Consider the following 18,539-nt stretch of genomic DNA (forward strand, 5'->3'; position numbering starts at 1 on the left):
TCTTGAGCTGAAAGACAAACCACAAAATGACTATTTTGGCTTGGGAAGCCATGAACATGGCTTTCTTTTCTTTTCTTTTGTAAGTGAAGCAATTGAAACAAACTTTTCTTGGTAAAGGGAATGGGAAGATTTCTGGGGTCTAGAAGGTAACTATACCAGTTCCTAGTCTAGGTGCCACTTCAGAGGCCTTCTGTAGCATAGAAGATAGGTAAGACAAATTTGTGTAACTGATAAAGGCAGTTTTTGAAAATAAGCTTTTTATGAAAGTGCAGGGACATAGCTATATTAGGTTTTAGTGACTTGGTGAGAATATGTCTAGCTTCAGAATTTTTTCTTGGTGACACAAAGAATATTGATTTTTTCATGAGACCCAAAATGAAGATGAATCACTTCTTAAATTCTAGGAGTTACCCAAGGAAAATGCTTAGCAGGTATTTAGAGCCCAAGTGGCCTAACAAAGAAATATTGCCTTGGCCTCCCTTGCTTGAGCTCTGGGTGAACTTCCCAGCTCAGGTAGACTGACTTTGGAAGAGGAAGCAAGCAACTGTCAATCTTAAAACTCCATTCAAAGGACATCTAACTTGCAGAGAGAGTCCCATTCTGTGCCCAATTGGAGCATATGATAATGGTTCTGTTTTGTTATAACCTGAGGGAGCAATAGGCCGGGGCTATCCAGAAAGATAAGAAAAAGGAAAAACACAATATTTTTCACAGTTCCAAATATCTACACAATATTTAAATTCAGCATCACATGATAGCACCGTTGCAGAGACAGTTGTCAGCCCCCTTACTCACTCTCACATACTTTTTTAGTAATACAACTCCTGAATTGGACATAGTGCAATACATGTCCCAGCCTCCCTTACAGCTACATGTGATTATTCAGAAAGTTATATCCAGTGAAGGAGGAGCTGAGTTTTGTGTGCAACTTCTAGGCCCTATGCTTAGAGAGAAGCGGCATGCCTTCACTTCTCCTTCCCCACTCCCTGTCCATAGGCTCAGTTGAGTTACAGTAAGAGGACCTAGGTTACAAAATGGAAGCTGTACATTGAGGATGCCACAGTAATACAATAGATGGAGCCCACATCCGTGATATGGAGCAGCCACATCAAATATGAACTATGTATATGCCAACTGTTACACGAGAGAAAAAGGAACTGGTTTAACTCCTTGATCTGTTGGCTTTTGTTATAGCAGGTGGCCTCATATCCTAATTACATCAAACACTTTAACTATAAACACACTAAAATGATAAAATGATGAAAACACATTTGTGTAGTTGGGGGATGTTGTTTTCTTTTTTTAAAAAAAATATTATTCAAAGTGAGTTTATTGATCTTCACAAATGAATCCATACACCCACTAGGTGTCAGTGATTTCCCAGGTTGATAACTCTCGATTTAGGCAAATCAGGAGTGAAAGTGAAGTGACTGAAAGTGAAGTAAAAGCTTACTTTTTTATGCTCATAATATAAGTACTCAAACAAGCTTAAATTAGATAGGAGCAATACTTATAATATGAATAAATATAACTAGTAATTATAAAGCACTTCATATGTGTCAGGCACTATTCTAAGCTCTTTATATATTTACTCATTTAATACAACAATCATATGAAGTAAGTACTACTATTATCTCAGTTTAGCAGAGAAGGATGTGTGTAAGTCAGGCACAGAGAAGCTAAGTACCATACCCAAGATTGCCCAGCTAGTTGGGGAAGAGGTGGGGTTTGAACCTGAGCAGTCAAACTCTAGTTGCTGTTCTTAACCATGTTTTCTTTAGGAAGATACAAGACTAACATTAGAGTTAGCCTTGTACAGTGAGTGGTTTGTTTTTTTCATGTGAGCAGAGTTGCTATAAATATTGCCAATACTGAGTGAGGCACATACTCTCACTCAGATGGCATCTTCCCCTGAGTCATCCAGTGTTTTTTCTAGGTCCTAAGTTAGAGAATTTAGCATCCTTAAATTCTCAGGAACTTTTAAAACCATGTCTTAGAGCAGAACTGTAACTCCAACCTAAAACAGGTTAGAATTCATGGGAAAGTTTTCCAGCCAGTTGTATCCAAGCATCCTTCAGAGTAGAATAGAGAAACCATCTTTTTAAAAGTATTTACAATTGTATTCAAATTATTATTACCGTAGCACTGAATAAGTTATAAAAATGTAATTTCCTTATAGTCCCTTTATCTGGCAAATTGCTTCTGTTTATAATCTGTAGCTGCTCTTTTAATTCTTTCCAATATGCAAATATATTAAAAATAGGTACTAAGAATAATATAAATGTGTTGTTCTTTGATTGCTTTACACTGCCCTGCTACAAACCAAAATGTGGTTTATAGCAGACACATACAACAGTTTAAAAACTACCAACTGTCCCCAGGGGTGGAGCAATCAAGTAAGCAATGGCATGTTAACTCACTGGAATACTGATTGATTGTACATTATTGCAACTTCTGTTGCAATAACTATATACATATTTTAGTCTTCTCAGCAACAGTTCTCCCTACAATAGCATTTTTATTTATTTTGAAGAAGTTAAGGAAGCTGGGTTGTATCTCAACAACTTGCCTATGTAATGATTCCTTTCCAGATTCAAGCCTTAAGGCCTGCTCAACAGTGCTTCCAGGCCAACTAATTTTTTAGAAATTTGTGGAATTTGTGAAAAGAACGCTTGATGTACTTGTTTACTAAAATGTAATGTGCATGCATGCGTGTGTGTGTGTTTGTGTGTGTGTGAGTGCTTGTGTTTCTTTAGGACTAGTTCTCTGGTACATAATAGGGATCATAATAGGGTTTAAAACATTTCTCCATAGGTAGTACAGGGCTTCTCACCAGAATGACTCTTTGATGCAAAATAAATGTATTACTCTTTGTGACTAATTTTCCATATTCAGTATATTAGTGAGTGTTTTCTCTAATATGCTTCATCTGGTACCTAATAAATTTAGATATATAAACAAAAGCTGTCCCACAATGATTACATTTTAAGAATTGCTCTCCCATATGAGAAATTGTTTGATACTTTATGAAGTTATTCTTTTGGATGAAGACTTCTACATTGACAACATTCATATGATTGCTCTCTTTCTATTTTTTGACACACAATAAGGTCAGAGCTCTGGCTGAAGAATTTTCCACAATCAAGTCATTCATATGGCTTCTCTCCAGCAGGGTTTTCTGATGTGAAGAAAATGTGACAGCTTCAACTGAAGTATTTTTTAGTCTTTGTATTATTTCATCCTATTGTGAATTATCTGATGCATAATAACATGAGACCTCTGTATATAAGACTTCCTAAATTCATTATCTTCGTAGGGCCTCCCTCTTATGAAAGTTCTGTAATGCATAATGAGGTGAGTGTTCTGTCTGAAAGATTTTCCAAGTTCAGGACTATCACTGAGTTTGTCTCTGGTATGATTTCTTTCAAGTCTAATGAAACTACCACATGGAAAATACCAAACACTTTTCCACACTGATTACATATATACAGTTTGTCTCCAGTATGAGTTCTCTAATATAGAAAAAAAGTGATAGAACCAGCTAAAGACTTTTTCACATGCTTATGCATTATTTACCTACTTATGATTTCTCACCAGTGTGAGTTACATGATGTTAATGTAGTGAGAACCGCATTTGAAGAATTTTGCATCTTCTTGATATTCATGGTGTTTGTCTTTTTATTTACACCCTTAGGTATACCAAGGGATGTACTATAAGTAAGAAACTTATTGCTATCATTGTAGGGTTTATCTCCTGTTTGAGTTCTCGCAAATTGAATCAGGTGAATGTTTTAACAAAAGGTTTTAGTACGTTTATTACTGTTACTGACATAGTTTGCCTGATGACCACTAAACTAAATTATGTTTTAAACTTTTAACATTTGAATCATACTTAACGGAAATACTCTTTAAGTACTAATGAGCATGAAAGATACAGTGTCCCCAGTATTTATCACTTTCACAGACTCTCCTAAGCACTTTGTTTTGTGTGAATGTTTCTTATCTTAAATGTTTCTTCTCATTTTCCTGATAATTGTCTAGTTTGTTTTCACATTTCCATTTTTAATGACAAATATGAGAAATCATTCCTTTCCATTTCTTCCATTTTAATGTCATAGAATTGTTTATCTTCAGAAATGCTATTGTTAGAAATTGATGATTTGATTTCCATGATAGTCACTGAATCTGGCCAGTTCTCCACCAGCTATGATTCTTTACCTTTCTCCATCTAGAGAATCACATCTGTTTGGGAAGCTGACACTCAAAGGAAACTGGGTTCTCATAGTACTAATGCATCACTTATTTGTATATGTTCTGCTGAGAAGTGAATTTGGTGAAATCTACAACCATATCCTAGAAGGCGATCCATGTCTGGGACTGGACCATTAATGACTCAGCTTCTATATTCCCTTCTCTGATTTCTTGAGTAAGTGGAGAGTTCTGTGAATGCAACACTCTCTGTTGGGCCAGGTTCAGCTGGCCTGGCCTGCCCCACAGTGCCTGCTCCTCTTTACCTGACTTGCATGTATGATGGGCCAGCTGCTGCAGCCTTCTCCATGTCACTCTGTTCATCATGTACCCAACTCCCAATCCCAGGCACTTGAGCTGACCCCTGTCTGATGCTGCCAACCCACATAGAAATGTCTTTCAAATAAAAGGCTGTTCATTTTGGTGAAGGTCCGTTGCCGCTTAATGGTTATGTGTCCACAGGGCATACGGTGCATAGTAATACTTCAGAAACTCAGGCTTATTTCTGATTGTCCATCCAAAAACAAATTTCTCAGAAGTCAGGTAAGGCTGAATTCTGTCTTTATTATTTCAAATTCTCTGTTCCTTCCTCCGTTATATCATTTAAAAAAGATATAGGGATTGGAAACTTGGTTTGGCCATAGACTGTTTTTTCAACAAATAGAATTTAAATGTCTTTTGGTGGAGCTTTATTATTAGTTCCCATGGTTCCTATAACTTTCATGCCTCTTAGCACATGGGTCGGGGCAGTATTCACACACGTGGAATGAGCTTAATGCAAAGCATTGCGCTTTCTCCTTGCTCATCTGGTCCAATTAACTTACAGTCATTTACATAGTATACAAATGTGATGTTTTGCAGAACATCCAGGATGGTTTAGATCCCTTCAGAGTTCAGTATGACAAAAGACTAGAGAATTGGTTTAACCCTAGTGCCAGATTATAAGTATATACTCTTTTCTTTGTCATGTAACTATGAACTGCTACAAAACTCTTTTCCAGTATTTTGGAAAATGATATGTTAATCAGCTCAATGGCTAAATACATGAAGCTATATTAATTTGTCATAATAAAAAAAATACCACATCTGACACTGAAGCTGCAGTTGGGATTACTACTTGGTTAAGTTTGTGGAAGTTTACTGTCATCTGTCAGGACTCATCTGTTTTTTGTAGTGCCAGATGGTGTATTAATTGGGGATATCATGGGAGGACCACTACCCCTGGTTTCTTTATCTGCTATTTCCCCTGTTATATGATACTGTTTTTGATATACTATTTTGAAAGAACTAGGAGGAGGGCAATATCTGAGACTTATGCTTGACTTTAAGATGAAAGAGCCAAACCGAGAGTTCTGCTATTTACAGGTATGTTTGTTTTAATTATATAAGGGCCAGTAAAATAATCACTGGCTAGATCCGTGGACCTAGTGGACCCACTATGAGCCAGAACTGGGCTGGAACTCCATTTATTGCCTGACTGTCTTGCATTCTCCAATCTAATTAGAGGTAGGAGGTGAGGGAGGGGGCACAATAATGTTTCAGTTCCCTGGATATCAATGTCAAGTGAAATTCTGTTTCTAACTATTCTCAAAATGTCTGAATTTCCCCTTTCTGCACTCTGGTTACCTTTATGATCTTCAGCTGATACCCTTGGGAGTTCTGGAGACGAAATGATTCTTCAGAGTTATTCTTTTTGAGGTAAAAGGGCTAGAACTTCGGACCTTTAAATTGAGCAGTCACTGGATGCTGTGTTTCCTTGAGAAGAGGCCATGACTCTGGGCAAGGCACATTTCTGCAGTCAAAGACAATTTCCTGAGGGAGACTCAGCAATGAGCCACCAGTGCACGTCACTCTTAGCATGTGAGGGAATCAGTATCTTGGTATTGAAAGGAGGATGTAGGCCTCACACCACATCATCCACTCCATAGCCATAGCCGAATTGCAATGGCAGAATGTTATGAAATAAAAGTAAAGAAATATTGTAGATGAGAAGGCCAAATATTAAAATGCCCAAATGTTACCCCTGTTGTATGACCATTACATCTGTATTAAGCGCAACACTCATTTACTTATTCTTTCCTTTATTCTTTCATTCAGTATCTTTTTATACCAAATACCATGCATTGCGAGCAGGGTTTGGATTCCTAGCATTGTCTGAATCTCAGCTATGTTCCAGTAGGACTGCATAGTTCCTTTAGACCTTACAACGTGAATAAACTAAGACATAGATGAGAAACCTAATATACCCACAGTCACCTAGCTGATGAATGGGAGAGTTGCAGTTGGGACTCAGTTCTGCCTCCAAGGACTGCTGTGCCCTTCCCACTATATCTAAAGACCTTTACAGGGAATATTAACCACAGGTTCATCACCGAAGAGTGGAGGAATAGAGGAATAATGGAATCTGTGATAATTTGATAAGTCAATAAAAAACATTTCAATAAATAAAAATTATTACTGTAGGAAGTGAGAAAAAATTTGCAGCTTGTTCTTATAGCTGTGTCTGTTTTAATATTTTCTACTATTCGTCACTATATAGCTGCTGCAAACCAAAGAAAAAAACTGAGGTGAGTCTCTACCAAATTTGGAAGCTTATTTTGCCAAGGTTGAAGATAGACCCAGGAAAAAGAAACAAAACCTCAGGAGCATCTGTGATTATCTGTGCTTTTTCCAAAGAGGTTTTGAGGACCTCAGTATTTAAAGGGGAAAGAGAAGGCAACAGGGGAAAGAGGAAATGGAAAAATGGGGGAGGGTAGATAAAAGAGGCAAGAGGTTACATTCTTTTTAAGGTTTTGATTAATATTTACTGAATCCACATTTTACTTGTGAAAGGAGGGTGCTCAGGGAATTACATTTTTACATAAGATAAAGTAAATGCAGAGTCAAGCAAGCAGTCAAATATACATTTGTCTCAGGTGAGAGCAGAAGGATAACCTCTACACCTGCGTTAGTCCCAAAACTGTGGAGACAAGCTGTCAATTTACATTGTCAGAGTGAAATTCAACAGAACTCTGTTTCAGGGTGTATTAAGCCATTCTCAAATTGCTATAAAGAATTACCTGTGACTGGGTAATTTATAAAGAATAGAGGTTTAATTGACTCACAGTTCCACAAGTTGTACATGAAGTATGGCTAGGGAGGCTTCAAAAAGCTTACAATCATGGTGGAAGGCAAAGGGGAAGCAGGCACATCTTACATGGACGGAGAAGGAGGAAGAAGGGAGTGGGAGGTGCTGCACACTTTTAAACAACCAGATCTTGTGAGAACTCACTATCATGAGAACAGCAAGGGGGAAGTCTGCCCCCATGATCCAGTCACCTCCCAACAGGCTCTTCCTCCAACATTGGTGATTATAATTTGACATGAAATTTGGGCAGGGACACAAATCCAAACCATATCATTTCACCTCTGGCCCCTCCCAAATCTTATATTCTTCTCACATTTCATTCCCAACATTCCCCCGAAGTCTTAACTCATCCCAGCATTAACTCAAAGTCCACAGTCCAAAGTCTCACTTGAGACAAGGCAAATCCCTTCTGCCTATGAGCCTGTAAAATCAAAACCAGTTAGTTACTTCCAAGATACAATGTGGGTACAGGCATTGGCTAAATACTCCCATTCCAAAAGGGAAAAATCAGCCCAAACAAAGGGACTACAGGCCCCATGCAAGTCTGAAATCCAGCAGGACAATCATTAAACCTAAAAGCTCCAAAGTAATCTCCTTTGACTCCGTGTCTCACATCCAGACCACAGTGATGCAAGGGTGGGCTCCCAAGGCACTGGGAGCCCCCTTGGCTGCTTCCACCGGTTGGCATTGAGTGTCTGCAGCTATTCCAGGCACATGGTGCAAGCTGTCAGTAAATCTACAATTCTGGAGTCTGGAGCATGGTGGCCCTCTTCTCACAGCTCCACTAGGCAGTTCCCCAGTGGGGACTCTGTGTAGGGGCTCCAGCCCCACATTTCCTCTCTGTACTGCCCTAGTAGAGGTTCTCCCTGAAGGCTCTGCCCCATAGTAGACTTCTGCCTGGACATCCGGGCATTTCCATTCATCCTCTGAAATCTAGATAGAGGCTCCCAAGCCTCAACTCTCACACTCTGCACACCCTGAGGCTTAACATCTCATGGAAGCCACCAAAGCTTTTGGCTTGCACCCTATGAAGCAACAGCCTGAGCTGCTCCTTGGTCCCTTTTAGCTGAGGCTGGAGCTGGAGCAACCACAATGCCAGGCATTATTTTTTGAGGCTGCGTAGAGCAGTGGGGCCCAGGGCCTGACCCACAAAACCATTTTTCCCTCCTAGGCCTCCAGGCCTGTAATGGGAGGGGCTGCCACAAAAGTCTTTGAAATTCCTTCAAGGACTTTTCCCCATTATCTTGGCTATCAACATTTGGCTCCTCTTTACAAATGCAAATTTCTGCAGCTGGCTTGAATTCCTTCTTAGAAAATGGGTTTTTCTTTTCTACCACATGGCCAGGTTGCAAATTTTCCAAACTTTTACAACTCTGCTTCCCTTTTAAATATGAGTTCCAGTTCCCAATCATTTTTTTGCCCTTGAATATAAGCTCTTGAATATTTTGCTGCTTAGAAATTTCTTCCCCCTCATACCCTAAATCATTACTTTCAAGTTCAAATTTCCAAATATGTTCCTTCTCTCCATTGAGACCTCATCAGCTTGGCCATCTCTGTCCATATCACTATCAGTATTTTTGTCAAAACCATTCAACAAGTCTCTAGGACGTTCCAAACTTGTTCACATCTTCCTGTCTTCTTCTGAGCCTGCCAAACTGTTCCAACCTCTTCCCGTTACCTAGTTCCAAAGTTGCTTCCACATTTGCAAGTATCTTTATAGCAGTGCCCCACTCCTGGTATGAATTTTCTGTGTTGGTCTGTTTTTGCATTGCTGTAAAGAACTACTGGAGACTGGGTAATTTATAAAGAAAAAAGGTTTAATTCATTCACAGTTGCACAGGCTTAACATGAAGCATGGCTGGAGGGGCCTCAAGAAACTTATAGTTATGGTGGAAGGCAAAGGGGAAGCAGGCACATCTTATATGGCTGGAGAAGGAGGAAGAGATAGTGAAGTGCTATACACTTTTAAACAACCAGATCTTGTGAGAACTCACTCACTATCATGAGAACAACAGGGGGATGTCTGCCCTCTTGATCCATTCACCTACTACCAGGCTTCTCCTCTTATCACTGAGGATTACAATTCAATATGAGGTTTGGGTGGGGACACAAATACAAACCATAAAATAGGGTAAATATCTTGGGGCTCACAAAGAATTTTCTTGTGAGCACATTGTAAGGGAGGCCACCTGGGGAGGTATGTGGACTTCTATCTTTGCAGCTATCTACTTAGGAACAAAATAGGAGGCAGTTTTGCAACTCAGTTCTCAAGCTTGACTTTTCCATTTGACATAGTGAGTTTGGGTCCCAAGGTTTTTGTTTTCCTTTCACACTACAAATAGATTTGGGCTGTTGAAGGGTTACATCTGATCTGCTGTATCATTCTTGCATGCAATGACCTGTGAATGTAAAGCTTTGTCTCCATTTAGCCAAGGTGGATGGAGAATTGCTTATCACTCATGTGCTGGCCCCTCTTGTAGCCATCAATACCTGATGGCACATGAAACCTTTTTTTTTTTAAAACACAAATCTGTATTTGAAAGACTCAGAATACATGTTGGAACTGATACGATAGCCTTCTACATATTGAGGTAAATTACTTTGCAACATTATTTGAAGAAAATCACTCAAGGTTAGTTTGTATTAATTGATCACAATATCTTCCTTAGGATTGTTTGGGAAAAGAACTGTAGATGGAGATCCTGAAAATTATGAGAGGACATATGCTATATAGTATTACCATATAATTTTATACACTGTACTATAGAGAGCACTTACATTAGCTTAGGGGTAATTCTGAAGCTTATCTTCCAGTGGGACTGACACATCTAATTATTAAGGTAGTTTTGTCATACCCATTGCCAGGCCATAGGATGTTTCAAAAAGCCCAATGATTCTGGATCCAATGTCTGTTAGATTTTCAAGGTTCCTACAGGAATACCTCTAGAAAAAGTGAAAAATAGATCATTAAGATAGAAGGCTCCAGACACCTCATACCCAACATCAAATTGTGCTAGACACTCTATTAAATTAATCCTGTTCTCAAAACAGTTCCACAGAAATGGAGGTTATTGTCATTATTTCATAAATGAGGAGAATGGTGATACTTCCATGGTCATAGTTTTCTTATGTTTGTTTTCTTTCTTTGTGAATTTACCCTGTCCTATCCAAGAGGCATGAAATAGAAAATCCAAACAGAGCAAAATGGGTATTAAGCCTATTGATAGTTGGTATCAGGATATTTTAAATGCCATTTAGCAGCCATTTAATTGCATTTGCTCATTTTCAAGATGCAAAACAAAAGAGCCCTTAGAGGCTAAAGCCCAGTGCCACCCACCTGGCTAAAAGTTTATTAGGAATTAGGAGCAGATTTCACAGTCAAGAGTCTAGCACTCTTTTTGCCTTAGGGCACATTCCTTTGTGGGTCCTATTTTTATGCAAATTGAGATGCAGGTGACATCCTTAGGATTCCTAGGTGACAAAAAACTGTTCTATCACTTTTCTCTTTCTTGGCAAATTTACTCTTGCCTTTTCAAAAGCAAAATGTGAAAATTATTGAATAAGGCCATACACTGGAATATAGTGTAGCTGAGAAAACACCCAGTAGTCCCCACCCTGAGCCTTTCCCTCAAAAGCATCCTCTTGAATGGGGAGGGAAAGGTGAGAGTGAAACTGGCATCACTTTAAGGAATAAGACAGTTTTACTTCAAAAGCTTTCATTCATGTTGTAAGTTTCAATAGTTAATATGAGTTTACATACTACGAATTTAGAAGAGGCAGTCATGGATCTCATTTAAGAAATTTCCTGTGTTTTAACATTTTAACTGCTCTATTTTATTTGAATTGTGTTAGAATATATTATTTTATTCTCAAATGCTATTAAAACATTTCATGCAAGAAGCAGATTTATAGTGAACTGAATTCTGTATCATGAACAGAATTCTGACTAGAGCATTGAATTTCTTATTCTTAGTTATGTGCCGTTTCCATATTTCACATTAGGATTTACCAAGGTCAATGATATAATAATTACTCAAAAGATACAAGAAATGTTCATATTGCAAACACATCTCAGTGTTACCCACTGACCTTGACTAAAGAAAAAGTTCATACAGCTCCTTATTCAAAGACTGAGCTGAGTAAGTAAACAAATGTGAAAAATGTAAATATTGTTGTTGACAGTTTTGAGGATTTAATTTCTCAGTGAAATGTAAGAAATTTACTTGCTCAGATACCTTTTTGGTTCTATAAATGGGTCCATTATAATTTTTGCAAAGGTACCTTTTTAAAATTATTGTCAAAACACATTAACTTCGAGTTTCAAAGAGAATTAGACTATAGTCCTTGTTTTTATTTTAATTTTCTGTTGCCTTATTTTTATGATTGAGTAATATATCCTCCTCCATATAAATTGAAGATTCTGCTGACTCATTAATGAAACAAGTTCTAGAAGTTATTTTTCTAGTAATAATGGCTTGTTAATATAATAATGATAGATTTATATTGAACCCTCTTTATTCTCTCATTCTGTCCTGTCACCATTGGCAGGGTTTCATGCATTTGTTCAGTAACTGGGAAGGGTTAGGAGTGAGCCCTTAGTTGAGGATCAGAGGATTTCCTCCATGTAAATTTATCTGGTTCATAGAAGATTTTATAGTGGTGACTTGGACCTCCCTAGCAGAATGCAGCATTATGTGTACTGACCCCAGCTAGCACTTTTATTCTTGGTTCACCATGTATATGAAAAGAGGAAGATGTAGCTGCCTTTTTCATCTAGTTCAACAAACATGAGATGATTCTGACGGTTTCTAGTTTTTTGAATTGAAGCCAGTCCCCTGATACATTCTTAGTTACATTGTTGTGCACAAAATATGTGTGTTCAGGTTTTAGTGCTTAAGCATGCCTCTCTGAAATGCAGCCCATACCACACTTAGGTACTTGTCAATATAAACACAAAATTGTTAACACCTTTTGTCTTCTTATATGTAAAATAGTGCCATTAAATGGAATTTAGAATTAGCGAAGCCTAGCTGTAAATACTGCCTCCCCTAATTATTTATGTAACCTCTTCGAGTCTCAGTTTTTAAATTTGGAGCTGGTAAAGCAGTGTTTGGAAATGTTCATTTTTATTGCAGACAGTCAATATAAGATTTATTTGAAGTACTGGTTTTAAAACATAGGAAATAAATCAGCAGTACCTTTTTGAGTCACTTAATTTACCCATCTTTTTCTATCTCCTGAGTTAAGTTACCCTACATGCTTGCATTTTTTCTGATTCTTAAAGATCTTCAGAGAAGGAAATTCTACAGCCTTTTTGGGCAGCCTATTCTAGATCCTTACAGCATTCACTGTCAGGGAACTTTTTCTCATATCTAACCAAAATCTCTGTTGCTGGAATTTAAGCTCATTTCTTCTTTTATTGTCCCCTGTGGGAAGTAGAATAGGTCAGTTTTTTGTTTATTATTCTCTCAATAGCCCTCAATACATAAAATTAAATTATGGCAGAGTTATCTTTATTTCATAACCTACAACTTTTGCCCGTTAGGAGAGTTCAGGGCCTAAGGTGGCCCTCTTAATTCTGATGTATGCATTTATTTTCTTGCTGTGTATTGTGTTAGTTGTACTTCATTTCAGAAATTGGAAACAGAATGTGATGAGTGAGCTCTGAATGCTGGAATTTAAGCTAGTATCCACAAGAGACATCTTGGAGGAGCTAGCAGAGATGCCCATTTGAAAATTAAATGTAATTCACTTTTTAGGTTTCCTTAGTTAAAAAAAAAATGACCTACACTTATAATTTGCCTACTTAGTTTTAAACTCAATGCTGTTCTAATGGTTTCATTTCCATTCTGTTACCTAAAATTTGAACTACTTATTCTCTGTGTGGAAGACTTTTAGGGGATGTACTAAACCCTTGGAAAATTATATTAACTTCTTTAGATTTGGCTGGCTTTCTTCTTTCAAAATGATGACTCTGCTTATGGTGGCATAATCCATATGAGCTGATGTGACTCTAAAATCCATAATGTAATTCATTTGTTTTCACCCTGGATTCATATATTGAGATGAATTGGCTTCTCTGCAGATGTGTCTACATAGGATTGGCTTCCTAAACTGGTATTGACATCTATTATTTTTGTCAGTGTACTACTGTGGTACTGAACCTAATTAAATGAAAACTTTCAGTTTAGTAGAATTATCTGTTTAGCTGTGCATAGGATTCTCCTGGTGACAGTTGGGCTTGATGTTGTTTTGTTTTTAAATATAATGCATATTTCACAGCATTGTACAGAATCTCCAGAGCGTTTACACACATAGAGATTTATACATACGTAAACGTTCACAAAGAGACACTTCCATGTTTTAGACCAGACTATGATTATCAGCATATTCTAGTTCTGCATAAATTTTTCTAAAGAAATTTAGATAACATTCTTAGTATGTTCAGGTAGTTTCCTGGGCTAATAAAAGCTTAGTTTAAAACTGAACATGCCCACAAGTGTTCTTAAGTCAACACTGAACATGATATCTTTTTACAGATTGATTCTGCCATTTAGTGATGCAAAAATGACTGCATATCTCATTATTAACTATAATTTAATCAGCTATTATTTTATATCAATAATGCCATCTTAGTAAACTTCTGGTCTGATAACACGCCTAATAGGTACCAAAATTCAGGTTTTACAAAAGTATTCATTATTTGTCACTCTATCTGTTTATATGCATTAGTTTAAAGCTTTTATGACATACAGTAGTGCTGTAAAGATTCAATGAAAGATCCATTATGAATCCTTCCCTAAAGGGACGTGCAGTGTAATAGGGAAGATAACAAATGTAAAATATTTATTGTATGTGGTAGAAGGGCCTCAGTTCCTTATAGAGTGCCTGATACTCAGAAAACCAATTTTCTGTTTGGTCAATCAGGATTGGCTTACTTGGGACATGAAAGATGACAAGGATTTGGACACAGTGAAATGAGATAGTATAGGGAAAGTCTTTCTACACCCTTTTAAAGTAAGTATGAGCCCAAACCTACATGCACAAAGACTCAGCGTTTTTGTGGAAACAATGGGAGCTTTTTATTTTCATTGGAGCTTGGGTAATGGTGGTGAATAAGAATGAAACCTGACAGTGGTGCCAAACTAAGAAGAAAATTAATTCTAAGTGTAGATCCTTTGGCTAGCAGGATAGAGGTATTGAATAAATGCTGGTACTCTCTGCTCCTTTCTCTCTCCTCTCTTTCTCTGTCTCCTCCCATCCCATCACTCTTTCTCTCTTCCCATCTTTAGGTTGTTAACCACTCAAATATTTTATTTTATCCTCGGTTTTCATACACTCAGCACCTATTATTGTAGGTGCTTAAAAAATTTTGATGAATGAATGCTGAATAATTAAGGTTGAACTTTATAGATAGTGGAGAGGTAGAGTGTGTTTTAGAGCAGTAATTTGAGAAGCTGAACTTTCTAAAGAATATAGCTGGCATTACCGGGTAAAAAGAAACAGTGGAAAGAGCTCATACTGGAATTAGACTATCAGAGGGTGCTTTCCTGGTATGTGCCATTGAATTTGAAATCTGGCAGTTTATGTGAATCACTTGGGAGCTTTTCAGTATGGTTGAGTTCTAGGCCTTATTCTTTGGAGTTTATGATTGGGTAGATGTGGGGCGGTTCCAAGGATTTGGATTTTGATTGTGATATTTTGCCATGTCTGAGAACCACTGATGAAAGTGAGAAATAACAGAGGCCCGGCTTCATTTCTGTGTGGAAATGGAGGGCAGGGAATGCACTTAAGAAATATTGCAGAGACATAGTTGAGTAAACTTGGGAATATATTTTTTCCCCATAGTAGGAAAGAATGAAAGCTGAAACCAGGCTTTCAAACCATAAAACTGTGAAGATGGTGATATCATCAGTGAAGTAGTGGTGTTTCTTGGCACCTGACAAAGATGATCAAATGCACTTTGGATGGACAGAGAGTACGTGGAAGTAGGTTGAACACTAGTAGTTCTATCTAGCAGAGAATTCTACAGGAGCTTGGAAAAGAGGGCAGAACTGGAGATAAAGACTTCAAAGTTAATTATTATAAAGGAGGTTATAATAATAGTGGTGAAGATGATAAAATAATACTAACTATAACGAAAAAACTACCATTTATGTGCCAGGCTAGTGATAATAAATTCATATGTAACATGTCATATCATTTTTATAGAAACTCTGAAAAACACCCGATTTACAGAAAAAAAAAGTTGGGGCTCTTAGAAGTTAGTTTGCCTGTGATCAAACAGCTATTATGTATGATATGTATATTTAACATCTCTAGCGCCTGACTCACTTCTCCAAGAAAGTCTTTGTGCATTAGAAACAGAACAGGGAAGAAACGTCAGCTACATTTTTTTTTTTTTGACAATCTTAGTTAAAAGAGAAAATGACAACTTGGAGCAAGTGGCTTTTTAAACAGTATTAAATGCTTCAGAGAAGTAAATTAGTATCAAAACTTGGGAAAATCTACTGGCTTTGGTCATTAGGAGGTCATTAACAACCTTGGAGGTTAGAATTAAGTGAAATGGAGATGGAAAAAGATGAATTACAAGGCATTAGAAGTTTGTTTTCAGAGACCAGGAGAGATTGGGTGTAGCAGCTCTATTAGGTTGGTGGTGGTCATGGAAAGAATAAACAGGTGGCTGTGTTTGAATGTTCAGGGTGAAAATGTCCATACACTTAGAATATGGAAATAGCCTTGGAAGAATCTGGTTGTTAGACCACTTTAAAGTGTTATTGAAGTTGGCTTTAATTCAGGTTGCTGGCTTCTAAGAATAGGAAAAACAATAGGAGTATGTGGCAGGTGCAGAGGTTGGATAGATAATGATGTGTCTCTCTATTGTATGCTATGGCCATTAGGAAGCAAAAGAGGATGGATATTAGAAAGGCAAAAGAATGTCTTTTCCTAGAAAAAGCAGATTTCTTAAGCCTCTAAATTTCAGAGAAAAGAGTATGAATATGTTAGGAAAAGCATATGAAATACCAAATGATCTAAAGAGCTACAGAAGCTGAGTTGTGAATATATCCTGGAAACGCCTTAGATCGAAGAAAATGTTCACCATCAGCTATTGACTCAACCTCAGAGATTGTCCATTTATGAAGAAGCATCCCAGATTTCACCTAGTATTAATAATTCCTGAGATTTTTGTTCTAAATTGTATCATTTTAATAATACTTTTACATTTTAATTGAAATATAATTAACATACCATAAAATTCACCCTTTTAAAGTGTACAATATAGTGGTTTCTAGAATATTTGCAAGGTTGTGGAACTATCACCACTATCTAATTCCAGAATATTTTCCTTACCCCCAAAAGAAACCCCATACATAATAGCAATCATTCTCCAATTTTCTCATCTCTAGGCTTACTGTCTGCACAGTGTTTCCACAGATTTGCTTATTGTCGACATGTTATGTAAACTGAATTATATAATATATGACCTTTGTGCCTGGCTTCTTTCCTTTAGCCTCCTATTTTTGAGGCTCATCAATGTTGTAGCATTTATAAATATTTCATTTCGTTTTATGGCTGAATAATATGCTATTTTATGCATATACCACATTTTGTTTATCCATTCATCCCTTGATGGGCATTTGGGTGTTTCTACTTTTTGTCAATCATGAATAATGCTACTATGAGCATTAGTACACAAGTTTTCTTTTATGAACATATGTTTTCATTTCTCTTGGTATGTATAGTCCACCAAGGAGTGGAATCGTTTAGTTGCATGGTAACGCTAAGTTCAATTTTTTGAGCAACTTGCCAAATTATTTTCTAATACTACTGCACCATTTTTCTTTCCCTCCAGCAGTATGAAGATTCCAGTTTCTCCACATCTTTGCTAATTCTTGTTGTTTTTTTATCTTTGTGATTATAGCCATGGTAGTGAGTGTGAAGTGGTATCTTCTTGTGGAGATACCACATGTCTAATGATTTTAGAGATGTGCATTTTTCTAGTATGACTCATGATGTTGAGCATCTTTTCATGTACTTGGTGGCCCTCATATAGCTTCTTTGGAGAAATATCTATTCAGATCTTTGCCCATCTTGGGCTATTTGCATTTGTCTTTTTATTATTGAGTTATAATAGTTTTTTATATATTCTGGATATTAGAGTCTTACTAGATATATGATTTGAAAAAATTTTCTTCCATTCTGTGAAATGTCTTTTCAGTTTTTTGATGGTGTGCTTTGAAGCACAAAAGTTTTTAATTTTGAGGAAGTCAAATGTATTTGTTTTTATTTTGGTTTCTTGCTCTTCTGGTGTCATATCTAAGAAATGATTGCCTAATCCAAAAGCACACATATTTATGCCTGTATTTTCTTCTGAGAGTTTTCTAGTTTTTACTTCTATATTTATAGATTTTTGATCAATTTTTAGTTAATTTTCATATATGGTAGGCATCCAACTACATTCTTTTGTATGTGGATAGCCAATTGTTTCAACACTATCTTCAAAGATCCATTGATAGAAATGTAAGGGTTATTTGGGGAATCTTAATTCTATTCTATTAATCAAAATGTCTGTGTGTCTATCCTTATATCATTATTAGACTGTTTTGATTACAGTAGCTTTGTGGTAAATTTTGAAATAACTCTTTTATTCTTAACTACTATAACATTTATGGTTGCCATTTTAAAGTTTGTGTTTTTAAAATAATGTAGTTAGGTAAATTTATTTGTTCATTTATGTTCTTAGTTAATCATCTTGACTGAAAATTTACTTGATAGGGTTTTTTAGCCTCTAATTTCTCTGAATGGAGACAGAGGAAAAGTGCCTAGCTGCCTACAATCTGTTTGAACAGAAATTGACGACTGAGATTATACAAATTCTAGAAAAAATAAAACATTACCCAGCATTTCGCATCTACAATTTGAATATTATTGCTGCTAATTATACTCTAAAAGTTATTTTAACTTTAACATTTATAGAAACACGTGTGTAGCATGAAAAGAAATGCTTTGGGTATATATTGTATTTCTAGCCACACTCATGCAATTATGCAAATGTGAAACTTGCTCTGTTGAACAGCATGATATCACTTTACTTTTTATTAATTTGAAAGAATACATCTAGATAAATTGGAGTTAGATGTTAAAAAAAGCTGAGTGTTGTTGC

At 36.8% G+C, this 18,539-nt stretch overlaps 1 protein-coding gene across 10 annotated transcripts in view, besides 1 other annotated feature; it reads left to right on the forward strand.

Moving 5' to 3' along the window:
• CTNNA2 (catenin alpha 2) overlaps window positions 1-18,539 on the forward strand; it is a 1,463,404-nt gene that overhangs the window by 358,948 nt on the left and 1,085,917 nt on the right. The gene's annotated exons all lie outside the window — the stretch shown is intronic.
• Window positions 8,392-8,893: an enhancer, noted in NCBI's record as "NANOG hESC enhancer chr2:79779842-79780343 (GRCh37/hg19 assembly coordinates)". NCBI's record gives its function as "activates a minimal SCP1, AML or CMV promoter by ChIP-STARR-seq in primed H9 embryonic stem cells {active_cell/tissue: H9 hESC(primed)}" and the evidence as "EXISTENCE:reporter gene assay evidence [ECO:0000049][PMID:30033119]".

Source organism: Homo sapiens, chromosome 2 (assembly GCF_000001405.40).
Source record: "Homo sapiens chromosome 2, GRCh38.p14 Primary Assembly".
Taxonomy (NCBI): domain Eukaryota; kingdom Metazoa; phylum Chordata; class Mammalia; order Primates; family Hominidae; genus Homo; species Homo sapiens.